Source organism: Homo sapiens, chromosome 5, assembly GCF_000001405.40.
Source record: "Homo sapiens chromosome 5, GRCh38.p14 Primary Assembly".
NCBI lineage: Eukaryota > Metazoa > Chordata > Mammalia > Primates > Hominidae > Homo > Homo sapiens.
In genome coordinates, this window is record NC_000005.10 from 10,504,703 (window position 1) to 10,531,340 (window position 26,638).

The window sequence follows — 26,638 nt, forward strand, 5'->3', positions numbered from 1 at the left end:
TCTTTTAACTTTATTCTTTTTTGTGAGTGATACAGAAATGTATATTTTTGATGTAGTCAGCTGGTCAATCTTTTCTGTCATGATTTCAGATCTTAGTGTTAAGATCACAAAGGTTTTCTGCTCCCCAAACTATATGCTGTCCAATATATCTTCTCATGCTTTATTTTTAAACACGTAAATATCTGATCTTTTGGAATATTGTATTATAATATATTTATTATGTTATGTTATATGATATGATATTATACATTTCCTAGGGCTGTTATAACAAATCACCACAAACTGAGTGACTTAAAACAGCAGAAATTTATTCTTTCATGGTTCTGTTTGCAAGGAGGCAGCAGGGCTGTGCTTTCTTGAAGGGCTCTAGGGGAGCATCTATCTGTTCCACGGCTTTCTCTTCGCTTTGATGTCACCAGCAATCTTTGGCTTATAGAAGAATCACTTGAGCCTCGGCCCCTCTGTCTTCACACGGCATCCTCTTTGTGTGTTTGTGTCTCTTTTCCTCTTCTTATAAAGATGTCAGTCATATTGGATTAGGGCCCTCCTAATGACCTCATCTTGATTACAACTGCAGAGACCCTATTTCCAAAAAGGCCACATGCACTGATACCAGGGGTTAGAACTTCAATGTATCTTTTGGGAGGACACAATTCAATCCATAACATATATGGTGTAACAAAACTTCATTTGTTTTTCCAAATGCTTACCTAATTGTCGTAATGTCATTTATTGGACAATCCATCCTTTATCCATGGGTTTATTTCAAGACTGATTATTCTGCTCCAGTAATGTATTGGTCAGTTCTGCTGAGGTCACATACTGTTTGACAAAGTATTGGTGTATAACCACCCAAGATAAGCAATTATGGAAGGAAATTGGAGGGAAAAGTTAGCTAGCCTCGCACTGTTAGTATGATCAGTCTTTCCCAGTCGTACAGTCTATAATGGGAGGCCTGTCTGAAAATACTTGCACTTCTCATTTTTATGCCCTTGTTTGGACTTGGGCTGTTCCTGCAACAGTTGGTTATGTCTGATAAAAAAAAAAAAAAAAGAGGAACTGGCCAGGTGCGGTGGCTCACGCATGTAATTACAACACTTTGGGAGGCTGAGGCTGGCAGATCACTTGAGGCCAAGAATTTGAGACCAGCCTGGCCAACATGGTGAAACCCCGTTTCTACTAAAAATGCAAAAACAAACAAACAAACAAGGAAACAAAAAATTAGCCTGGTGTGGTGATGCGTGCCTATATTCCCACCTATTTGGGAGACTGAGTCTATGAGAATCACCTGAGCCTGGGAGGTGGCGGCTGCAGTGAGATGAGATTGCGCCACTGCACTCCAGCCTGGGTGACAAAGCAAGTCTCTGTCTCAAAAAAAAAAAAAAAAAAAAAAAAGTAACTTCTTTCTTTCATAGCCACTACACTGATATAGGGTTTGAAATATTAAGAGATACTAGTTTTAAACATCTGCCCAGAGTAGTCCTCCAATTCCTGGAACAATCCAGAAGTGTACAAATTCTGACAGAGCTATTAGAAGCCATACCAATGCTAAGGGTTTAATGGCCAAGAGAAACTCAGTCACTCCTTTAACATGGATCTATTGAGTGCCAGGCATTGTTCTAGGTGCAGGAGCTACAGCAAAGCCTGGGACAGACAAGGCTCTCTGTTTCCTTTCAGCTTACATTTCAATGGGGGAAAGACAAGGATAAGACAAACCTAAAGAGGTACAGAATACCCTCTCCAGAAGTAAAGGGAAAGTATGTCACCTTGAAGTCCTGGGCAGAATCCGATCCTTTTCACAGCTTTATCCATCTTGTTGAAATATAGATTATTGGCGACATCCCCAAAAAGAGAGTTGTAGAAGAGAAACGCACTGGCAGAATGACAGGCAGGTATTAGTGTGGATGACAATTGAGTCTAAAGACATTCTTAACAGCAATCTTCCATTGATAGCCTACTTTATTAGTTCATCAGAATTTTCATTCCCATTTGTGAGACAGGGGAAACTGAGGATCAGAAAGATTATCTGGTGATTTGATTTCTGAAAAGATAATGCTTATTTAGCAATTCCTCCAGGAAGCCATCAGAGTCCTCATCCATACAACAGATGCGCAGTAAGTGATGAATTTTGCTGTGAACACCTGAGTTGGAATTAGTCATTGATTGGGCTCCACTCCATGAGCAAATGAGGTGAGGGGGCCAGATACACACAGATAATATATTTTCTTATTTCTTCCATTGCTTGTCCATGTTCCCATGGATTTTTTTTTTTTTTTTTTTTTTTTACAGAGTCTCTGTCACCCAGGCTGGAGTGCAGTGGCATGACCTTGGCTCACTGCAACCTCCACCTCCCAGATTCAAGTGATTCTCCTGCCTCAGCCTCCCAAGTATCTGGGATTACAGGCACCCGCCATCACGCACGGCTGATTTTTGTATTTTAAGTAGAGATGGGGTTTCACCATGTTGGCCAGGCTGGTCTCGAACTTCTGACCTCAGGTGATCTGCCTGCCTCGGCCTCCCAAAGTGCTGGGATTACAGGCGTGAGCCACCACGCCCAGCCTTCCATGAATATTTTTAACATTTTACTTTGATATAATTTTAGACTTAGAGAAATTTACAAAAATAGTATAGAGAGTTCATATATATCCATTATCTAGCTACCTATAATGTTATAAATGTATATAACTATGGAACAATGCTCAAATCATATATATCCATTATCTAGCTACCTATAATGTTATAAATGTATATAACTATGGAACAATGCTCAAACCCAGGGGAAAAACTTTGATACAAGACTATTAACTAAGCTACAGACTTATCTGAATTACACTAGTTTTCTCCCTGTGAAGTAAAGGATTAACTCAGCAGGCTTGGGGTGTTCAAACCCTGCATCTCCCAGAGAAAGGACTGGCCCTTGACTACCTTCTGGGAGACAAACTCTAAGCCCTTGAAATATCCTGCCTGATGACAGTCTTTGTTTACTTGGGCCCTTGGGCCCTGTCAGATAGTCGGTAATAACAGCGTGATTTATGGTGGGGAGTCTTGGATCTTGCTGTATCCGTTTGACCTCTTGAGGAACTGCAGACTGAGTAACTAAGGTCAGCTATGAGGTGTTCCATGCCTCTATAACTGATCCCTAATAAAAAACCTGAGCCCCAGGCTTTGAGTGAGCCTCCTTGGTTGGCAATACTTTCTGTGTGTTGTCACACATCACTGCTGGGAGAATTAAGTGCTGTCTGTACAGTTTCTCTGGGTGAAGACAACCAGAAACTGGTGTTTGTCTCTCCTGGATTCTGCCCTCTGTGCCCTGTTCCATGCTAACTTTAATCTGTATCCTTTACTGTAATAAACCATAACTGTGAGCATGACAGCTTTTTAAAGTTCTGTGAGTCCTTCTGGTGATTCACTGAACCTGAGTGTGGTCGTGGGGACCTTTGGCATGCTACCTAATATCCTTTTCTTTCTTTCTTTTTTTTTTTTCTGAGAAAGAGTCTCACTCTGTCACCCACACTGGAGTGCAGTGGAATGACCTTGGCTCACTGCAACCTCCATTTCCCAGGTTCAAGCGATTCTCCTGCCTCAGCCTCCTGAGTAGCTGGGACTACAGGCCCGCACCACCATGGCCAGCTAATTTTTGTATTTTTAGTAGAGACAGGGTTTCACCATGTTGGCCAGGCTGGTCTCAAACTCCTGACCTCAGGTGATCCGCCCACCTCGGCCTCCCAAAGTGTTGGGATTACAGGCATGAGCCACCACGCCCGGCCCTAATATCCTTTTTCTATTCCAGGATACAATCCAGCGTCCTTTATTGTTGGTCTCCTTCATCTCCTCCAACCTGTGACAGTTCCTCAGTGTCTTTGTCTTTCGTGACCTTAACACTTTTGGTGACTACTGGTCATTTTGTAGAATGAACCTCAATTTCAGTTTGTCTGTTTGCTCATGATTCATTGAGTTCATGTAATTTGGGAAAAAATGCTTTATATCAGATAACTGGGATTTTTAAGGAGAATAAGCTCTTCAGTACCCCTGTACACACACACACACACACACACACACACACACACACACACACACACACACACACACACACACTCTCTCTCTCTCTCTCTCTCTCTCTCTCTCTCTCTCTCTCTCTTTCCCTATCAGCTGGAATTCCCCACCACACTAAGGCTCTCTTGCAACACTGGCTCTCCACCTCTACTTTCGCTATTCAGTTTTATTGTCAAACCTCGGATGAAAGAGAACCAGTGGCGGCCAGTGTTAAAGAGAAGAACTCAGCTTTCCCTGTTAACAGAGGCCCTTGTGCATCTGGTGGTCATAGCACTCCTCACATTCCTTAATTGACCCTCACCCCAGATCGCTGGAGCAGGGATGTGGCGGACATTGACTCTTTTGTCTGCTGAGGGTAATAGTCAACCTTCTTCTGGGAGATGTTCCTTCTTCCCACCATAACCACATGGCTCTAAAGAGAGCTGCCATGATCTAACAGACTCTCCCCACGTGGCCACCACTGATTGGTCAGAGCTGGGCACCTGACCCTATTGGGGCCAATTAGAGCCCTTCCCTGGGATTTCTGGGCTTGAGAGGAAGCAGCACATTCTTCCCCTGGAGGGTCCTTGCTTGTGGAAGAGCCAGGCTAGAGTAGGAGGAGTTGAATTCAGACAGAGGCGGAGATGAGCACTGGAGAGGGAGCCTGGCTTTGTCCCAGGTGTATCTGGAGGCCCAGGTATGCCCTGCACCCTTCCTCCATGATGGGAGCCTCACTAATACATAGACCACATTCCATCCTGTCTGCATACCCGACACATGGAAAAGGCTGGACACTCCCTACATCTCATGATTAGCCAGTGAATGAAACGAAAAGGGCCGAGTGATACTTCATCAGCATTGCAGTTTTTCTCACGGTCCTCTCTGTCTTTATGTTTCCATCTATGGGATGTAGTAAATCAGAACCAAACATGTTGAGCAGCATTCATTTTAACAGGCGTCTTCAAGAGACTGTCTACGTGATTAGCAAATACCATCTGCCCGCCTAATGAAATCAGAACAGCCAGTGTTTTCCATCCTCAACTCAGGGATTAAAGAGGAAAAGCCGGTGTAAGCAGGTCACCTGGGTTAGCGTAGCTGTGGAGAGGTGCGCTGAGCAGATTGCACAGCTCAGCCCCGCCCGAGTTAAGAGGAGTCAGGACACAACCCCAGATGCCAAAGGAAAAGAAAGGAAGCAAGACAGAAAGGAGAAAAAGAGAGAGACAGACAGAGAGAAAGAGAGAAAGAGAAAGAAAGAAAGAAAGAAAGAAAGAAAGAAAGAGTCTATATTTTACTTCCTGAACAGCTCATTTTATAATACATAAATAATTCAAGACAAAATAAATTGGTTAGAAAATAATAATGTTTGTCCACTCTATGGCTACGGCTATACGAGGAGCAGAAATAGGAAACCTGTGTATGTTTTGCCAAAAGAGAATCTGTTTGCTCATTTAAACTTTTTCCTTCTGATTATAAAACATACACATTCTTTTATGGATAACTTTCAAAATAAGGGAAAATACAAAGTGTGTGGGGCAGGCATCACTGAGCGTAGGGAGAGGGCGTGGTCATTCTCTGCTCACGCCCACCCCGGTGAGGGCTGTGTCTGGGTGACTGGCAGGGTTGGGGGTGCTTCTGGAACCCACTGAGGGGGCTTTTGGGAAGGGGATGCAACGGGGAAGAGAGCTTGGTTCTCAATAATCTATCAGCTTTTGGAACAGCAACGTTCGTTTCCTTAGGCTGTGTTAGTTTCCTAAAACTGTCCTTTAAAAAGTACCCCAAACTGGGTGGCTTAACATGACAGAAATTTATTCTTTCACAGTTCTGGAGGCCGGAAGTCCAAAATCAAGACGCTGGCAGGGCTGTGCTCTCTGAAGCCTCCAGAAAAGATTTCTCTTGGCTTCTTCCTAGCTTCTAGTGGTTGCCAGCAAGCATTAGCATTCCTTGGCTTGCAGCTGCATCTCTCGAATCTTCTGTTTCTCGAAATCGCTCGAATCTCTGCTTCTGTTTCCTTGTGGCGTTCTTCCCTGTGTGACTATCTCTGGGTATCTTGGATAGTCATATTGGATTAAGGGTCCATCCTGCACAACTATGACCCTGACCTAACTTAACTAATTACAGCTGAGTGTGGTGACTCACACCTGTAATCCCAGCACTTTGGGAGGCCAAGGAGGGCAGATCACTTGAGGTCGGGAGTTTGAGAGCAGCCTGGGGTCTCAAACTCCCGACTCCTGAGGTCTTTGCAGTAACTGGTACTCAAGGGAAATGCTGAAGAAAAAAGGCGGCCGGGCGCGGTGGCTCACACCTGTAATCCCAGCACTATGGGAGGCTGAGGTGGGTGGGTCACTTGAGGTCAGGAGTTCGAGACATGCCTGGCCAACATGGTGAAACCCCATCTCTACTAAAAATACAAAAATTAGCCAGGCATGGTGGCATGTGCCTATAATCCCAACTACTCAGGAAGCTGAGGCAGGAGAATCGCTTGAACCCAAGAGGTGGAGTTTTCAGTGAGCAAAGATGGCGCCACTGCACTCTAGCCTGGGTGATAGAGCAAGACTCTGTCTCAGTAATAATAATGATAATTTAACTAATTACATGCACCACGATCTTCTTTTCAAATAAGTTCATAGTCTGAAGTTCCAGGAAAGACATGAGTTCTTGGGACACAATTTCAGTCCATGCAGCCTCTCTTACCCACACAAACCTCCCTGGCACTGTGGAGTGGAGGGCAGCATGGCCCCATCACGGAGAAAGTCTCCTCCGGGTGGTGGGGAGTGTTCTGCTGAGACCCTACCAGGCTCTGCGGAAGCCAGGGCAGATCCACAGTGGCAGTGGCCTCCGCCGGAACATTTGGCCATTGCTGTTCTAGAATACCACAGGAAGTTCTGGCCTTGGCTCCAGAGGCAACAGGCCTCAGGGGCCCACCCTGTGAGCCCCAAAAAGCAGTCTAGGTCCTAGGGGGTGGTTCCAGTGGGCCACCAGAGGCAGTGGCTTCGGTGGGGCTGTGTTCTCGATCTTTTAGAAGCCCTCACAGCACTGTGCACTCCCTTCACAATACCGACAACAATTCCAAGGAATAAATAACCATGAAGTTAGTTCTTTAGTGTCTGTCTCAGCAATAGGATGACCAGCTGTCTGCTAAGTGGGGCCACCAACTTGTCTAGTTTGTGCTAGGCCAGATTTGCTTCAGCACCGAAAGTACCACATCCCAGAAACCCCCTCAATTCCCAGCAAACCAGGACAGCTGGTCACCCTCCTTAGCAGACAGATGGGAATCTCATGTGCAGAGCCACGGTGTCTATCTAATCCACTCTATCTCCTGTGTTCCTGTTTGTCAATGGTACCTTGCACAGAACATGCATCCAATAAATATTTGCTGAACAACAATCATAATAATGATTATCTGCAATGCTCAGTAAATATTTGCCAAATGAATGCCCCCTGCCAGTAAATAAAGAATTCTCTTCAGCATTTTAATATGTTACCGATAAATGACACCAACTGGATTTACAGACTCATCCAGGAAGCAAAGAGATTTTTGTCCAAGTAGAAAATGCCAAGTAGGGTAAGTTTAGCAGCATTCAATCCTCTAACAAAAGATCAGCAAATGTCCTAGAGAGGTTGGGTCTGATTTCCTGAATCCGTCTTTAAGTGGAGATTATGGATTTCCAGATCCTCTCAGATAGGAGGGGCCAAAGCAGGAGGGACAACTGCTGGACAGCCGTAGCGGTGGGAACGAGAGCTTGCATTGCACATCCCAACACAGCAGTCTCACAAACCTTCCCTTGGATGGGATACACTAGACTGTAGACATGGAGGGATGGTGTGCTTCTCTGTTTTTTTGAAAATGAGTCTCACTCTGTTGCCCAGGCTGGAGTGCAGTGGCGCAATCTCAGCTCACTGCAACCTCCACCTCCCAGGTTCAAGCTAGTCTCTTGCCTCAGCCTCCCAAGTTGCTGGAATTACAGGCATGTGCCACCATGCCTGGCTAACTTTTGTATTTTTAGTAGAGATGGGGGTTTCACCACGTTGGCCAGGTTGGTCTCGAACTCCTGGCCTCCAGTGATCTGCCCGCCTCAGCCTCCCAAAGTGTTGGGATTACAGGCGTGAGCCCCTGTGCCCAGCCTGATGTGCTTTCCTTGCCTTGCCTTTCCTCTTTCTTTCTTTCCCTCCCTCCCTCCCTCCCTCCCTTCTTTCTTTTCTTTCTTTCTTTCTTTCTTTCTTTCTTTCTTTCTTTCTTTCTTTCTTTCTTTTCTTTCTTTTTCTCTCTCTCTCTCTTTCTCTCTCTCTCTCTTTTGAGACAGTTTCACTCTTGTTGCCCAGGCTGGAGTGCATTGACATGATCTCTGCTAACTGCAACCTCCACCTTCCGGGTTCAAGCAATTCTCCTGTCTCAGCCTCCTGAGTAGCTGGGATTATAGGCACCCGCCACTACGCCCAGCTAATTTTTGGTATTTTTAGTAGAGATGGGGTTTCACCATGTTGGCCAGGCTGGTCTCGAACTCATAACCTCAGGTGATCTGCCCACCTCAGCCTCCCAAAGTGCTGGGATTACAGGCATGAGTCACCACGTCTGGCCTGATGTGCTTTTCTTAAGGATGCACGCAAAGTAGGGCTTTGCAACCAGGCCATCTGTGTGCTTCTTTACTGCGCTGTTCTCCCATTTCACTTAACCACAGCCACAGCAATGAAGCCCAGTGGTCAGTACCTTCCTGAGCTTGAATCCAAGCTCCAAGTCGTCTAGATCAATCTGTAACTAAGCAGTGGCCACTTAGACCATTGAGATGTGAAGAAAGAGCCAGCCTGGCAGGTCTTGCTTGCTCGTTGCATGTCTCCAGGGCAGCCTAGAACAATGACCCTTGGCCAGCCCTGGTGAGTGCAGTCCCCAGGAAGGTTTTGATGTCTGTGATTAATGATTTTGTTCTATACCTCTGGAGGAACTGGCCACATGCAACCAGCTTGTCAGGATAGTTTGCACAAACATCAAATTGATGATGTGTACGTGGTTTCACTGCTGGGGTCCTGAGTTTCACTTGGCATAGCTGATAGCTAAGCAGAATGTGTCTATGTGATCAACCACCCGAAAAACCTTGGACCCTGAGACTGGCATGGGTTTCCTCGGGTCTTCCACACATGTCCTTGGAGTTCTCTGCCAGACAAAAACCACATTCTGAGTGGTCTCAGATGAGGAGGCATGAAGGAGCCTGAGCTGGACTGTTCTGGAATGCAAACAATGCGTATCTTTTCCTGTGGCCTTTTCTCTGCATCCTTTGCTGGAATAAATGTTAGCCATGCATATAACTTGCTATTGAGTCTTGTCAGTCTTTCTGGAAAATCACCAAACTTAGCACCTCAACACATAGAAGAAAACAGGGATGCTCCGCCCCTGCTTATCCTGCCGGATGCTGCCCTTGCCCCTTCCCCCCATCCCCCCCACCCCATCCCTGACTCCACCCAGGTTTGAATAAGGGCTGTGGGAAACAAGGTTTAGAATGGTTACCGACAAAACCAGAGCTGGAGTTCTAACCCCCGTGGAGGTGGGTTTCCTCTTTGGCTCACAGCCCCAGTGTCTACCCAGCAGGAAAATGTGGCAGGAAAGCATGAGGCCTAGGGCAACAGGGGGCAGGAGGTTGCGGATGCCTGGGGAGCAGATTTCAGGGTTGATAGACTTTTGGAATCTCTGGGATTTGTGAACTCTGGTTAATTTCTGTAAATGGAGCCACAGGTCTTCCCCGGATCCCTGATACTTATTACTGGCTCAGCCAAGCAAACACTTTGGGTTGGAGTATCCTCTAGCCCTGCAAGTCTCTGACCTCCACATGTGTGCAAATTTCTGTTTTACAGTCCAGAAGTACATTGCAAATTCATTCTCTCTCTCCTTTTATCTGTCTTTATTTATTTTATCTTATTATTATTTTTTTTGAGACAGTCTCTCTCTGTTACCCAGGCTGGAGTGCAGTGACGCCATCTCAGCTCACTGCAACCTCTGCCTCCTGTGTTCACGTGATTCTCCTGCCTCAGCCTCCCACGTAGTTGGGATTACAGGCACGAGCTACCACACCCAGCTAATTTTTGTATTTTCAGTAGAGACAGGGTTTCACCATTTTGGCCAGGCTGGTCTCGAATTCCTGACTTCAAGTGATCCGCCCGCCTCGGCCTCCCAGAGTGCTGGGATTACAGTGGTGAGCCACTGTGCCTGGCCCTATCTGTCTTTAATATTCTGTAGGTATAAACTGATGAGCACAACCATGGACAGAAATGTCAATAAAATGATTAAAATGTAAGATAACTAAACATACCAATAAAACAATTTTATTAGGTTGGTGCAAAAGTAATTGTAGGTTTGCTATTTCAATGGCAAAAACTGCAATTACTTTTGCACCAAACTAATAAAAAGCAAGCCACTCAAATAATTACTTACACACTTGCTATTCAGATAAAGCCCTGACATTTATTTTGCATAAAAAATAAATAGCTTATAGGCCAGGCTCACACCTGTAATCCCACCATTTTGGGAGGCTGAGGCAGGAGGATTGCTTGAGGCCAGGAGCTTGAGACCACCCTGGGCAACATAGCAAGACCCTGTCTCTACAAAAATAAATTAAAAAAAAAAAAGATAGTTTATCCAGAATAGCCAAAACAATTTTGAAAAAGAAAAACAAAGTAAGAAGACTCACACCTCCTGATCACAAAACATGCTGCAAAGCAATGGTAATCAAAGCAGTGTGGCATTGGCATAGGATAAACATATAGACCAATGGAACAAAACTGAGAGTCCAGAAATAAATCCATGTGTCTATGGGCAACTGAATGCCAAGACCATTCAATGGGGAAAGAATGTTTTTTTAACAAATGGTGCTGAAACAACTGGAGAGCCACATGCAAAAGAATGCATTTTAGACCCATAACTTACACCTATACAAAAATTAACTTAAGGACCAAAGATTTAATCATAAGAGCTAAACCTCTAAAACACTTAGAAGAAAATATAGGGAAAACCATGACGTTGGGTTTGGCAATGGCTTCTGAGATAAGGCACCAAAAACACAAGAAACACAAGAAAAAAATAGGTAGATTGGACTTTACTACAATCAAAATCTTTTTTTTCCATCAAACGATACCATCAAGAAAATGAAAAGACAACCCACAGAATGAGAGAAAATATTGGGAAACCATGTATCTGATGAGGGTCTACATCCAGAATATGTAAAGAACTGTTACAACTCAACAACAATAAGACCAACAACCCAATTCAAAAATGGGCAAAGAGGCTGGGTGCAGTGGTTCACGCCTGTAATCCCAGCACTTTGGGAGGCCAAGGCAGGTGGATCACTTGAGGTCAGGAGTTCGAGACCACCCCGGCCAACATGGCGAAACCTCGTCCCTGCTAAAAATACAAAATTAGCCAGGCATGGCAGCGCATGCCTGTAATCCCAGCTACTCGGGAGGCTGAGGCAGGAGAATCGCTTGAACTCAGGAGGTGGAAGAGGTTGCGGTGAGCCGAGATCACGCCATTGCACTCCAGCCTGGGCAACAAGAACAAAACTCTGTCTCCAAAAAAAAAAAAAATTATTATTATTATTTTTTTAAAAGAATGGCTCTTCTTCCTTTAGCCAACAGGACATGTCCACTTCTGCTTTCTCTGTCCTCCCATTCCCACCCCAACACTGGTTGTCAGTATAAGAAAGGCAAAAAAAAAAAAAAAAAATAGCCAGGCGCGGTGGCTCACATCCCAGCACTTTGGGAGGCTGTGGATCACCTGAGCTTGGGAGTTCAAGACCAGCCTGACCAACATGGAGAAACCCCGTCTCTACTAAAAATACAAAATTATCTGGGCGTGGTGGCACATACCTGTAATCTCAGCTACTCAGGAGGCTGGGGCAGGAGAATTGCTTGAACCCAGGAGGTGGAGGTTGTGCTGAGCCAAGATTGCAACATTGCACTCCAGCCTGGGCAACAAGAGCGAAACTCCATGAAAAAAAAAAAGGAAGGCCAAAAAATAATTTATTTTTTTATTTTTATTTTTTGAGACAGAGTCTTGCTCTTTTGCCCAGGTTGGAGTGCAGTGTTGCAGTCTTGGCTCACTTTAACCTCTGCTTCTTGGGTTCAAGCAATCCTCCTGCCTCAGCCTCCCAAGTAGCTGGGATTACAGACATGTGCCACTGTGCCTGACTAATTATTGTATTTTTAGTAGGGACAGGGTTTCTCCATGTTGGCCAGCCTGGTCTGGAACTCCTGACCTCAAATGACCCACCCTCCTCGGCCTCCCAAAGCGCTGGGATTACAGGTGTGAGCCACTGCACCTGGCCAAAAATTGGGTTTTACAATAAAAGAAATTCTGGTCCAATAGAGCAAAGATTCTTAGCCAGATTCGGATCTCAGATCTCTTGTGAATTTGATAAAAGCAGCTGTCCTCCTTAGCTTGGAAAAATATAAACACACACAGAGTTGAGTATGCAATCTCAGTGGGTTCATGGATCCCTGTAGCCCATATTCCGACTCCAGGTTAAGACTCTCACAGGACTGAGCACATCCAGCATCCACGCTGTGGCTTCTGAATGCCATTCTCCAGTGAAAGGAACCAGAGCTCCTCGGAGAAATGGTCATTCCAGGAAGAGAAAGAACAACATGAGCCTGGAGCATCTTGCAGTGCCAGAAATTAAGGAAACGCTGAAAGAAATAAAGGAGAACTGTTCAAAGGGCACAGGGGCCAGCTGAGGAGCTCCCACTGACCAGATCCAAGACAGTTAGAGAATCAGAATACATAATGACAGTGATGAATGGCAGCCCATCCAAATGCATAAGAATCCGTGTGTCCATAATGATCATGAATGAGTGAATGAAGAAGGGGAAGCTCTTCCTCATAGTGGAAAGCCAACTAATCATCACAGAAGAAAGAATAGGCTTAGAGAAGCCACTGTTTTACAACCATAATTGGTCACCGAGTCCAGCAAGAATCCTTAATAAATGCTAAAGCTCTTGGTTGCGAGGTTGGGGAGGAAGGAGACATTGACCTAGTCTCAAAGTCCCTCCCACAGATGACCTGTTAGTTACAATGGAAAAGAGAAGATTGTACAGCTGGCAGACACCACCTTCAACTCAAGTCAACGTTGTCACTAAGAGGGGACTGAGGCCAGGCGCCGTGGCTCATGCCTGTAATCCCAGCACTTTGGGAGGCCGAGATGGGCAGATCACCTGGGGTCAGGAGTTTGAGACCAGCCTGGCCAACATGGTGAAACCCCGTCTCTACCAAATATACAAAAAAAAATTAGCTGGGTATTGTGGCGAGTGCCTGTAATCCCAGCTACTTGGGAGACTGAGGCAGGAGAATTGCTTGAACCCAGGAGGTGGAGGTTGCAGTGAGCTGAGGTCATGCCATTGCACTCCAGCCTGGGTAACAAGAACAAGACTTCATCTCAAAAAAAAAGCTGGGTCGGGGGTGTGGGGGACTGAACCGAACCGACATCATGTGCCTGTGATGGGACGCACAAGGAATGGAGACTTCATTGTTTATTCCCAGCAAACTCAAATCTAGTAATGAGGAGACCTCAGATGGCCCCATGGGGCAGAGAATCTGGGGAAGGGCATCCCAGATCTTCCATACGATTCTCTTCAGTAACAACTTCTGCAGCTCCTGCAAAAATATAGTGTCGTGCAAGACAAACAAAGCTAAAAGACAGTGTCAGATGAAGGGAGACCAAAGAGAATTGGCCACTAAACATGATGTATGATCCTGGTTTGGATCTTGGACTGGAAGAAAAATGCTATGAAGACATCATTGGGTCACTTGGTAACCAGGTAACCACATTCCAGCAATGAGAAATTTCCTGGCTCAGATAACTGCCCTGTGGTTATGTGAGAAAACACTCTTGTTTGTTGGAGATCTATGTGGAAATATTTAGGGGTAAAGGGTATGATGTCTGTAATCTGCTCCTAAATGGATCAGGAAGAAAAAGAGATGTGTATTTATAAAAAGAAACAGAGATGATGTGGCCAAATGCGGCAAAATGTTGACAATTAGTATATCCAGGCCAGGCGCCGTGGCTCGCACCTGTAATCTCAGCACTTTAGGAGGCTGAGGCAGGTGGATCACCTGAGTTCAGGAGTTTGAGACCAACCTGGCCAACATGGTGAAACCCCGTCTCTACTAAAAATACAAAAATTAACTGGGCTTGGTGATACGTGCCTGTAATCCCAGCTACTCAGGAGGCTGAGGCAGGAGAATCACTTGAACCCGGGAGGCAGAGGTTGCAGTGAGCCAAAACTGGGCCATTGCACTCCAGCCTGCGTGACAAGAGTGAGACTCCATCTCAAAAACAAACAAACAGAAACAATTAGTATATCTGGGTGAAGAGTACATGGGAAGTTTTTATGTTTCTTGCAAATCTTTTGTAAGTTAGCCATAGTTAACATAAAAGTTATTGGCCGGACGCAGTGTCTCATGCCTGTAATCCCAGCACTTTAGGAGGCCGAGGTGGGTGGATCATGAGGTCAGGAGTTCGAGAGTAGCTTGGCCAACATGGCAAAACCCCATCTCTACTAAAAATACAGAAATTAGCCGGGCGTGGTGGTGGTTGCCTGTAATCCCAGCTACTCAGGAGGTTGAAGCACGAGAATCTCTTGAACCCAGGAGGCAGAGATAGAGCAGTGAGCCGAGATCAAGCTACTGCACTCCAGCCTGGGTGACAGAGTGAGACCCCATCTCAAAAAAGGAAAAAAAAGTTATGTTAAAAATAAAAATCAGTAAAGTTTTTATAATCAAAATAAAATATAATAAAATTTAAAAACTCTCCAAAATCTCTGCCATAAAAACTGTAGAGACAAAAGTCAGCTCCTTTAGGGGTAGTGCAGCCTGCAGAAGCCACCACGTCGGCCAGGTGGTCGGCAAATGGCACAGACGCTCACTTGGCTCTGACACCAGCTGGAGTCCCTGAGGCTGGAGACTGTCCTGGAGAGAAGAGCATTGTTTCCTGGCATAAGAGAAGTAGAAGAAAACCACTTCTGGGATGAAGTGAGCTCTAGTGGAATCCAAGAGCCTAGAGGCTCCCCATGGGTCCTTAGCGTTAGTGGCCAGCTGTGACCCTTCCGGTCTGCAGACCAGCTAACCACAGGGCCAACTGCACTGATTGAGCCCCTATTGTGTGCAGGAGCCTGTGTGGGCTAGGAGGCCCCACTGGTGGCTTGCGTGTGTGTTTGCATGTTTGTGTGAACCTCATTTCCCTGGGGAGCCAAGTGAGAACGACCATCTTGTCAAAATGCCATTGCTAGTTGCGACAGGTGAGCGTTGATGGTACGACAGGTGCAAGAAGCTCTTTTATGCCAAGGAATATTCAAAATATTTCACTTACATTAAGCCATTCAACAGCCTCCTGCCCAGCAGCCCCATGGGGTAAGTATCACTATTGCCTCCCATTTTACAGATGAGAAGTGAAGTAAGGCACCTAAAGTCACCAAGATCTGAGGCTCCTGGTCGACACAAAGGTGGCATGCCCAGCACAACAACACACACCTCACTCTTTGGTCCTGTCCTCTTGGGGTTTTTTTGTTTGTTTGTTTGTTTGTTTTTGAGACAGAGTCTCACTCTTGTCGCCCAGGCTGAAGTAGTGGTGCTATCTCTGCTCACTGCAACCTCTGCCTCCGGGTTCAAGTGAATCTCCTGCCTCAGCCTCCCGAGTAGCTGGGATTACAGGCATGTGCCACCACGCCAGCTAATTTTTGTATTTTTAGTAGAGACGTGGTTTCTCCATGTTGGCCGGGCTGGTCTTGAACTGACCTCAGGTGATCCTTCCGCCTTTGTCTCCCAAAGTGCTGGGATTACAGGCATGAGCCACCGTGCCCGGCCTGTCCTGTCCTCTTGGAACAGAAGTCAGCTCGCCTCTAGGAAGCAGGCTCCAAGAAAACACAATCATGGCCGCACCCTTGCACAGAAGTCGTGGCTCCCTCCCTACTGGGGCAGTGGGCATCTCCTGGGGTCAACGCTCAGTTATGAATACATTGCTTAAACTTGATCGTTGTGAGTTTCACACCCAGTTGGGAAAAAAGACTGGTTTGGTCAGTTGGCATTTCAGGAGTATCTAAAATATTGAAGTGTATTTAATATTTCAGTGTACTAGCTCAAGCTTTTGTGTGTTTTCATAAAAAAGTTGCTGCCAAACATATTTTGAATACCATTTGTGAGGACGTATGGCTCTTTCCACGCCTCTCAAAGGCCAGGGAAAGCAGAGTTGGAGGAAACCTCCTTTCCTCTCCTTCTAGAGAGTCATTTAAAAGTAGTGAGTACTTTGAGAAAATGCTTTTGACTCTTGGTCCCTTTTTTTGAGTATTAAATCAATTATAGCCACACAGCAAGCCTGCATCTCCATTCTTCATCCAGGGGCCACCAAAAAAAAAATAAAGCAGCTGAACAAATATAAGATTCTGTACCATTTCCACCCCCTGGCCCCCCTGCCCCCCCGCCCCCCCCACAGCAGAAATGCTGCTTGTTTTTGGTCAATGGTCAAATGATAACCTGAAAGCTCAAGTTCCTTTTTTTTTTTTTTTTTTTGAGATGGAGTTTGGCTCTTGTTGCCCAGGCTTGAGTGCAATGGCGTGATCTCGGTGCACCACAACCTCTGCCTCCCGGGTTCAAGTGATTCTCCTACTTCAGACTCCCGAGTAGCTGGGATTACAGGCATGCACCACCACGCCTGGCTAATTTTGTAATTTTAGTAGAGTTGGGGTTTCTCCACGTTAGTCAGGCTGGTCTCGAACTCCCAACCTCAGGTGATCCGCCCCCAACCACCTGAGCAATTGCAAGTTGTAAGAGCTTTGGGTCAGAAATGCAGGTGTCTTCTGATCACCCAATTGCCGGGAAAGATGCCACAACAACACAAGAGGGAGGCCACTATCAGTTCCAGCGTCATCCCCACTAGTACCACTAGGGGGTCAGGCCACTCTGGCCACCATGGAATGCTCGTATGGTAGCCCTAAGTCATGGTTTTCCATTCACAGGGACAATGTGACCAATGAAGTAAGCAGTCAATACCTTTAGGACATCAAGGTGAACCATAATTGGGACACAGAAGTTTCTGGAAGAGGTAGGCTTGGGCAAGGCGGGTGAGCAGCAGGTTGTGTTTACCAAAAATGGCCATGATGCTGCCTTCTACACTCGTGTTCTTCTGCAGTGTGACTGTGTCATTCCCGCATGCAGAAGCAGAGTCTCTCCATCCCTGGGAACCCAGGGCTGGCCTGTGGCTCCCTTGTGACTGATAGGATGGAGTAGAATCGATGCCGATGATGTCCCAGGCTGGCGTAGTGCTACAATCCGAGGCCAGGGCAGAACAGGCCTGATGCTGAGGCCTGGTTCCCTTGGAACGTTCCCTTCAGGAAGTTCCTGCTCAGAACTCCGCCTCTGTGCTGCCAGAAGCCCAAGGTACAGGAAGCAGCCAGGCACTGGGGCTCATACACAGGCTTGGCTGAACCTGGCTTCCCAGGGCAGGGGTTAAGAGGGAAGAAGCCCCTGGAGGATGTCAGCCATGGCCATTCACAGCTTCCTGGCTGAGGCTTCATCCTCTCCAAACTCCTGACTTGCAGAATCCCTGGGCATGGGAAAATGGTTCTTGTTTGATGCCATCAAATGTGGGATGCTTGTTACGCAGCATAGATAACTATGGTAAACCCCGTGTCATGGGCACTGTTGGGTGATGCAGGTCTGGGAATGGGGACATTTGGTGAGGCAAGGCCCTTTGGATTCTGGTTAGGAGAGCGAGTTCTAGAGCTGCCTAGGTTCAAATCCAGTCTCCACCACTTACCAGCTCTGTGGCAGTGGGAAAGTGACTTAACCTCTCTGTGCCTTGCACGTCTTCCTCTGTGCAATGGAGGTGATAACAGTACACACCTGGGCAGGCTGTTTGAGGACCGAGTGTTGTTAGTGCCCGAAGAGCACCAGGCTCACGGGAAACGCTCATTCCGTGGTGTCACCTCTGATGGGCACAGGCCTAGGCCTCGACTGGACGGCTGGAAGACTGTGCAGGTCTAGAGGGTGCTTAGACTTGGCAGGCAATTGTATTTTTTTGTCTCACTAACTAAACTGGGAGAAGACAGTTATCTGTCTGTCTCTCATCATCTGTGCGTTGAGAATGTGGGGCATACAGAAAATGCTGTATTTTGACTGGAAGGAGTTGCAAGTTCCTGAAAAAAGCCTGCTGGTGGAATTGAGGCTGACATCAGGCCTGAGAAGGGGAGGGGAGGGCATTGGGGAGTGAGAGGGCTGGGCCTGGGCAAACGGGTTGGTATTGCTTTAGTGGGGTGCACGCACATGTGTGTGTGTGTGTGCACATGTTTGTGCCTGTGTGTGTGTGTCTGTATGTGTGTGTGAATAGAGAGAGGTGGCCCCTAGAAAGGGTGAGAGATGCTCAGTCAAAACTCAGATGTGAGCCAGATTTAGACAATGAAGGGCCCAGTAGGCCACACTCAAGCAAGGTTGTGGCAGGGATCATGATCTGTATTAGTCCATTTTCACACTCCTGTGAAGAAATACTCAAGACTGGGTAATTTATAAAGAAAAAGAGTTTAATGCACTCACAGTTCCACATGGTGGGGGAGGCCTCCCAATCATGGTGGAAGGTGAAGGAGGAGCAAAGGCACATTTTACATGGTGGCAGGCAAGAGAGCTTGTGCGGGGAACTACCCTTCATAAAATCATCAGATCTCCTGAGACTTATTCACTATCTCGAGAACAGCAGGGGAAAGACCCGTCCCCATGATTTGATTACCTCCCACTGGGATTATGGGAGTGATAATTCAGATTTGGGTGGGGACACAGAGCCAAATCATTTCATGATCCAAGCCCACATTAGCCAGGGCAGCGGGCAGCAGGGTGGGAGACGTGGGAAGGGCACAAAAGGAAACAGAGTCAAGTCTTCTTCCAGGTGTTCTGCCTGTGCTGGGGGGGCCCTCTCACACCACCTCCTACTCAACCTGCAGGGCTGGGCTGGTGCATCAAGAGGGAGGTGGAATCTCATTCTCCCTGTGTGAGTGCACATGGAAATGTGATTTCACTCCTGGTTTAACTTTTCCCTTGCCCTCCAGCCCTCAGCTTCACTTTTTCGGGTGACCAAATAATGACAATTTTCACATCGCCAGGTTTCCTTCAGCATTTGCTGACGGCCGACTGCCTTAGACACCAAACACATGTTATCCAGACGCCTGAAACGGCCATGCCCTGGGGAGCTGTTTAGTAGTTTTAAAGACCTTGAAAGGCCGGGTGCGGTGGCTCACGCCTGTAATCCCAGCACTTTGGGAGGCCGAGACGGGCGGATCACGAGATCAGGAGATCGAGACCATCCTGGCTAACACGGTGAAACCCCGTCTCTACTAAAAATACAAAAATTAGCCGGGCATGGTGGCACGCGCCTGTAGTCCCAGCTACACGGGAGGCTGAGGCAGGAGAATGGCGTGAACCCGGGAGGCGGAGCTTGCAGTGAGTCGAGATCGCGCCACTGCACTCCAGCCTGGGCGACAGAGCGAAACTCCGTCTCAAAAAAAAAAAAAAAAAAAAAAAAGACCTTGAAAATACTTTGATGAAAATGCTTCTGATGACAAGCACCTATTGTGCTGCAGATCTGTTGTGTGCCATCTGCCTTCATTAAAGACGGGGATGTGAGGGTTTTCCCATAAAGAATCCGAATCGCCACTGCTCTCTGGTTTGGCCAAAGAAAGAGATTTATATTATCATCACTTTTGGCTCCCAAATGGTTAAGCATCCTTGCGCCTTCGTTGGCACATAGCGGGTACTTAATAAACGTTTGTGGGATGAGAGTGAATGAATCACTAGATGGAAGGCACTGGCAGTTAGGAGGAGCTCATTAAAACCTTTCTAATGGAGATCTCCCAGCCTGCAGCGGCTGTGATGGTGAACACCAGCCATGCAAAGCGTATGTCTGCTTAGTACCCTGAGTCTACAAACCGGAGGGAAGAGAGCCGAGAGAGCAAGCAACAAGTAATGACTGCTGCCCCTCCACAATCCCACCTGCTCGGCCCGGCATCTGCTACCCGGCCCTCCACACCATCTGCGCCCAGGGGGCTGGCCATTGCCAAGCCTCCCCACGTGGCCTTTCCAGAAGACAGTACCATCACTGACCTCACTGTCATTGGCCCCATTCGCCGGCAGCTCTGGACACCAGATGGGCCTGGCGTGGAGCCTCATTGCTGGTGGTTAAGCAGTTTAGCTCACTTCTTACCTCAGCATCTTTGAGGACCCAGCCTGCCCAGGAGAATGCTCACTTCTTTCTGTTTTCCTTTGGGAATTCTATGAGGCTGCTTCAGGCACTGATTCATCCTGTACATTTTTCTCCCATGGGCATGCAGGCCTGAGTGTGTGGCTCACTTTGTGCAGATGGCCGGGGCCTCCTGCTGCAGACCAGGAGAACACGGCAGGCACCAGATTCTTCTCAACCTTCAGAATGCAAAGGTCCCAGAAAGGAGTCACCTTGAGAGCCGAGATGCAAACTTCTGTGTCACTAACGTTTGAACTGCTTTCAAACCTTGTGGCAAATTGTTTTGCATATATTCCCATTAACAAATAAACAAAACAAAACACACTTCAGTCTTGGAGGGTTGATTTGAATTCTAGAAACAGCTGAGTCATTCACAGCCGAGTCTGGGGCACAAGGTGGGTGAGCCAATTTGGATAAGGTATTTTTAGGTGAAAAATGAGGAATGACTTTAAAGCAATCCAACTGATTTTCATAAGTGACTCTTAGCCTGAATTTGGTGAGTGTGACAGACATCTTGGGCAAAGGGAGTTGTATTGTTCTAGAAGTATTATTTCCCAAGATAGCCCATGAAGACATTCATTCAGATGGGAAAACTGAGAACTTTTTTTTTCTGCCACTTCGAGAAAGAAAATTAGTGTTCTTTTCTTTTTTCTTTCAACCAATCATATTCATTTATACAAGTACACAAGTACTGTATACCAGAATGATCAAGGTAATGTCCCCCAAAAAGACATTAGACCATCCTGTAAAGATGTCCTTGCTTTAGAAAGGAATCAATTTGTTGGTATGTGCTGACCATTTCCCACTTTCTTTTCTGTCTTCATGCAAGTAGCAGAGGCCCCTGAGTGGCAGAGGTACAGGATTGACCCTTGTTCTTCTCACCTGGCAAAGCCACCGTGCCAGGATGCATTCACTACCTCCCTCCTGACCAAAGGCATCCATGACATGCTGAGTTTCTAGGGCAGACCCATGGTCAGTCCATCCAACATCCAAGCCTCCTCTCTGCCTTACCAAGAGAACCTTCATTCAACCCTGCAAAACTCATCCTCCTGGCAGCCAAGGGCTCACTGAATGGAGGCAGAAGTCAACTGACTTCTGCAAAATCTTAGCTTTCCCAATAAAAGACAGACATGCTCACAGCTTCCTCTTCTCCCACTTCTTACTTTCTCAAAGATAGACATGATGTCTGGAGCTACAGCAGTGCATTTGAAACCAAGAGGAAACCAGCCTGAGAATGAAGAGCCAACCTGACAAAGACAAGGAAAAGCCTGCATGCCTGATGGCATTGTCCAGCAACGGAAGCAAGACCAGCAATTTGTGACTGCTGGGCTTCTCAGCATATGGGACACACGAGACCCTCTGCTCCTAGCAGCAGATACAGATCAACCTCACACACAGGGTATTCCTTTGTTTAACATGGTAAGTGCTGTGTGGCAGTGTACCTGGGGACCAAACGCACTTCCGAACCTCAGCTGAGTCTATTCATTTAGAGAAAGGGTGGGAAGAACCACGAACTTAAAGGCTGATAATTCTCATCTTGAGAGAATTCTGGAATCAATAGGTCTAACATGTTTAGTTTCTGACTTAAAATGCACTAAGGCAGCGGGGTGTGATGGCTCACGCCTATAATCCCAGGACTTTGGGAGGCCGAGATGGGTGAATCACCTGAGGTCAGGAGTTTGTGACCAGCCTGGCTAACGTGGTGAAACCCTGTCTCTACTAAAAATACAAAAATTAGCCAGGCATGGTGGTGGGCACCTGTAATCCCAGCTACTTGGGAGGCCGAGGCAGGAGAATTGCTTGAACCTGGGAGGCAGAGTTTGCAGTGAGCCGAGATCACACCACTGCACTCCAGCCTGGGCGACATAGAGAGACTCCGTCTCAAAAAAAAAACACAACAAAACAAAAAATTTGGGTCGGGCATGGTAGCGCATGCCTGTAATCCCAGCACTTTGGGAGGCCGAGGCAGGGGGATCACTTGAGGCCAGGAGTTCGAGACCAGCCTGGCCAACATGGCGAAACCCTATCTCTACTAAAAACACAAAACATTTAGCTGGGTGTGGTGGCAGGTGCCTGTAATCCCAGCTGCTTGGCAGGCTGAGGTGGGAGAATTGCTTAAACCTAGGAGGCGGAGATTGCAGTGAGCCAAGATCGTGTCACTGCACTCCAGCTTGGGCAACAGAGTGAGACTCTGCCTCAAAATAATAATAATAATAATAATAATAATAATAATAATAATAATAAATAAATAAATAAAATTTTGAATTGACAAATGACTCATGCTGAGGAGGCCCTAATCTTCTCATAGGCGGCAGGACAGGGGATTGAGTGCTTGTTTAGATTTCTGTTCTGGGGAGGGGCAAAAGGCATCTGGTTTTTAGTCTGTGCCTGCTGTGTCCGAGAGACTCCACCTACATCACCTCATTTAACTCCCACACCCACTTTGACAAGGAAACTTTATTCTCTCTTTTATATTTTCTGAACCTAAGTCTCAGAGAGGTTGAGTAATTTGCCCAAAGTCACACAGCTGGTTGAGCAGATCCGACTCCCCAGCATTGATCTCTCCCACAGCAGCAACCCAGCCTTGCACATAATGAGACTTCAGTCATAATCGCTTTTCTTTTCTTTTTTCTTCTTTTTGAAGCAGAGTCTCCCTCTGTCAGTCAGGCTGGAGTGCAGGGTTGTTAACATGGCTCACCACAGTCTTGACTTCCTGGGCTCAAGCCGTCCTCCCACCTCCCGCGTAGCTGGAACCACAGGCATGTACCACCATGTCCGGCTAATTTAAAACATTTTTTTTTTTCCTTACAGGCAGGGTCTCACTTTGTTGCCCAGGCTGGTCTTGAACTCCTGGGCTCAAACAACCCTCCTGCCTCAGCCTCCAGAAGTGCTGGGATTGCAGGCGTGAGCCACCGCACCCTCCATCTTCTTGATGGAAATCTGTCAGTGAAGAACCCGCAAGTGACTGGTAATGCTCTATTTTCTCAGTCACAAACTGAGATGCACAGGTTTTATTTTTCTTTTGGTGGGGACAGGAGAGTGGGAGCCAAAATTTGTCACTGTAAAGACTCCCACCCTCCTGTCCTCACCAAAAGAAAAAGAAAACTTTGCATCTGAGGTTGCGACTGAGCAAACAGAACATTAACTTAGGGAAATTTCTCCGTCCGTGCATTAACTGAAGGAAACTGCCGTGTTGCTCTCTGCACTATTTAGAGAGAATGTGAGTTAGGAACTGTTGGAAGAGACATGAATAGATATGAAATTTTTGTCATGACAAAACTAATGCTGTGTTAATAAGAAACAGATGAAGGACCCATCTGTTTCATTCCTTTCTCTTCTTAAGAGGATATAGCCGAATTATGGTTAAGTAACCCTGAGGACAGTTACATGATAGCCTTTCTCATGTCAAATGTGTGGAAAGAGAGTGTGAGGTCGAAGTTTCAGGTATTGTAAATAAATATCTTGTGACCTGAACAACTTTTTAATTAGCTTTATTTCTACCAAAAAAAAAAAAAAAAAAAAATCCAGAATGCTGTACTGCAGCCAAGTGAATGAATACATGTAAGGTGTCTGTGTCAGGGCTGAGAATGACAGGGCCGGGCAAGTCCAAACCTGCCTCTTCTCATGCCATCGTCTCACATGGCGCCCCTGAGGAAGTAGCAGGAACAGGAGAGGGGACTGGATTGCCCCCTATGGGCTGAATTGTGTCCCCCCCCAAAATTCATCTGCTGAAGTCCTAAGCCCCAGTACCTCAGTATGTGACTTTATTTGGAAATAAGATTGTTGCAGATGTAATTTGTCAAGATGAAGTCATGCTGGAATAAGGTGGATCCCATAATCCAATATGAGTGGGTTTTTAAAATTTTTAATTTAATTTAATTTAATTCTATTTTAAGTTCTGGGATGCATGTGCAGGATGTGCAGGTTTGTTACATATGTAAACGTGTGCCATGGTGGTTTGCTGCACAGATCAAACATCACCTAGGCATTAAGCTCAGCATGTATTAGCTATTCTTCCTGATGCTTGCCCTCCCCCTGCCCCCACCAAACAGGTCCCAGTGTGTGTTGTGTCCCTCCCTGTGTCCATTTGTTCTCATTGTTCAGCTCCTACTTATAAGTGAGAACATGCAGTGTGTGGTTTTCTGTTTCTGCCTTAGTTTGCTGAGGATAATGGCTTCCAGCTCCATCTATGTCCCTGCAGAGGACATTATCTCATTCCTCTCTATGGCTGCATAATAGTCCGTGGTGTATATGTACCACATTTTCTTTATCCAGTCTATTATTGATGGGCATTTGGGCTGATTCTATGTCTTTGCTATTGTGAATAGTGCTGCAGTGAACATATGTGTGCACGTATCTTTATAGTAGAATGATTTCTATTCCTTTGGCTACATACCCAGCTATGAGATTTCTGGGTCAAATGGCATTTCTGATTCTAGGTCTTTGAGGAATCACCACACTGTCTTCCACAATGGTTGAACTAATTTATATTCCCACCAACAGTGTAAATGCATTCCTATTGCTCCACAGCCTCGCCAGCCTCTGTTGTTTCTTGACTTTTTTTTTTTTTTTTGAGACTGAGTCTCGCTCTTGTCGCCAAGGCTGGAGTGCAATGGCATGATCTCAGCTCACCACAACCTCTGCCTCCTGGGTTCAAGCAGTTCTCCTGCCTCAGCCTCCCAAATAGCTGGGTTTACAGGCATGCACCACCATGCCCAGCTAATTTTTTGTATTTTTAATAGAGACAGGGTTTCGGCATGTTGGTCAGGCTGGTCTCAAACTCCTGACCTCAGGTGATCCGCCCGCCTCGGCCTCCCAAAGTGCTGGGATTACAGGTGTGAGCCACCGTGCCCGGCCTGTTTCTTGACTTTTTAATAATTGCCATTCTGGCTGGCGTGAGATGGTATTTCATTGTGGTTTTGATTTGCATTTCTCTAATGACCAGTGATGTTGAGCTTTTTTCATATGTTTGTTGGCCACATGTATGTCTTCTTTTGAAAAGTGTCTGTTCATCTCTTTCACCTACTTTTTAATGGGGTTGTTTTTTTTCTTGTAAATTTGTTTAAGTTCCTTGTAGATTCTGGATATTAGACTTTTGTCAGATGGATAGATTGCAAAAATTTTCTCCCATTCTGTAGGTTGTCTGTTCACTCGGGTGACAGTTTCTGTTGCTGCGCAGAAGCTCTTTAGTTTAATTAGATTCCATTTGTCAAATTTTGCTTTTGTTGCAATTGCTTTTTCCCTGCATGTGACAGACACACATGCAGGAAGAATGCCATGTGAAGGCAGAGGCAGAGATTGGGATGATGTGTGTACAAGCCAAGGATGCCGAAGATCTCCAGCAAAGCCCAGGAGTGAGGAGAGAGGCCTGGAACAAGTTCTCCCACACAGCCTCAGAAGGAAGCAACCCCGTCCACACCTTGATCTTGGACTTCCAGTTTGCAGAACTGTGAGACGATGCATTCTGGTGGTGGGAGCCCCCAGTACACGGTGCTGGGTTGCAGCACCCAGAGCCAGACAACGCACCCCACGAGGAAGCTGAGCTTGACAACTAAGAGGTTGCAGTTTTCCAAGGTGGAGACATGTTTGCTCATGTCTGTCCACGTTTTTCCTTTTATGGAATGGAGCCCTTGGTACACGTCAGGCAACTTGCTGAACTTTTAGAAAACTGATCACACCTTCCCTGCCTTCCAAGAGTCCTCATTCTTGGGGACAGAATGTACCTCATAACTTGGTGTGTCCTTAAGACTGTCTCCGTGTTGAGTGCTGGGTGATTTTAGGAGTATTTGTATGTGTATGTCCGTGTGTGTGTGTGTGTGTGTGTGTATGCATGCATGCGTGGGTATAGATGTGTGAATGTGTGTGTGTATGAGAGTGTTGGGTGTGAATCTGTCTGCATGTGCATGTGTATTTGTGTGCATATGAGTGTGTGGCTGTGTAGAAGTGTGAGCGTGTGTGTGAGTGAGCTCTCACAGGAAGTCTGTCAGGGGCTTTGGCCCCTCGTCACTCTGGAAGTAGAGGCTGGAGAAAGAGAAACCCACCACAGGGTCTCTTGGCTACACATAGACAGGGCGGGGTCTTGCTGTACCTGGGGAAGGTTTGGGTCTGCGATGGGGCACCTCACCCTCAGGAGGAGCTGAGTGTGTCCTGAGCCCCCCACAGCCTGATCCTCAGGGCCGGCTGCCACGAGGCTTAGCTTGATGCCCCGCTCACCAAGGAAGCCCCTGGGACTGGATCCACAGGACCAACACCAATGAAAAGGGGAAAGGTGGGTTGAAACATTTTTGCAAGGAGAAAACACTGCATAGAACTCTATTGTCTTACAATTGGGGCTAATTTAACAAGACACTGTA

General features: G+C 46.5%; 1 long non-coding RNA gene across 2 annotated transcripts; it reads right to left on the reverse strand.

The window, feature by feature from the left end:
• Positions 1–287: 287 nt before the first annotated feature.
• On the reverse strand, positions 288–17,382 carry LINC02213 (long intergenic non-protein coding RNA 2213). Of its 2 annotated transcripts, none has more exons than NR_134289.1 (3): positions 17,054–17,382; positions 1,767–1,873; positions 288–822 (listed from the first exon to the last, which is right to left on the reverse strand). It is a non-coding gene; the product is annotated as a long intergenic non-protein coding RNA 2213 (long non-coding RNA). The 2 variants fall into 2 exon arrangements; NR_134290.1 differs by lacking the exon at positions 17,054–17,382 and adding an exon at positions 4,355–4,492.
• Between the last annotated feature and the right edge of the window lie 9,256 nt (positions 17,383–26,638).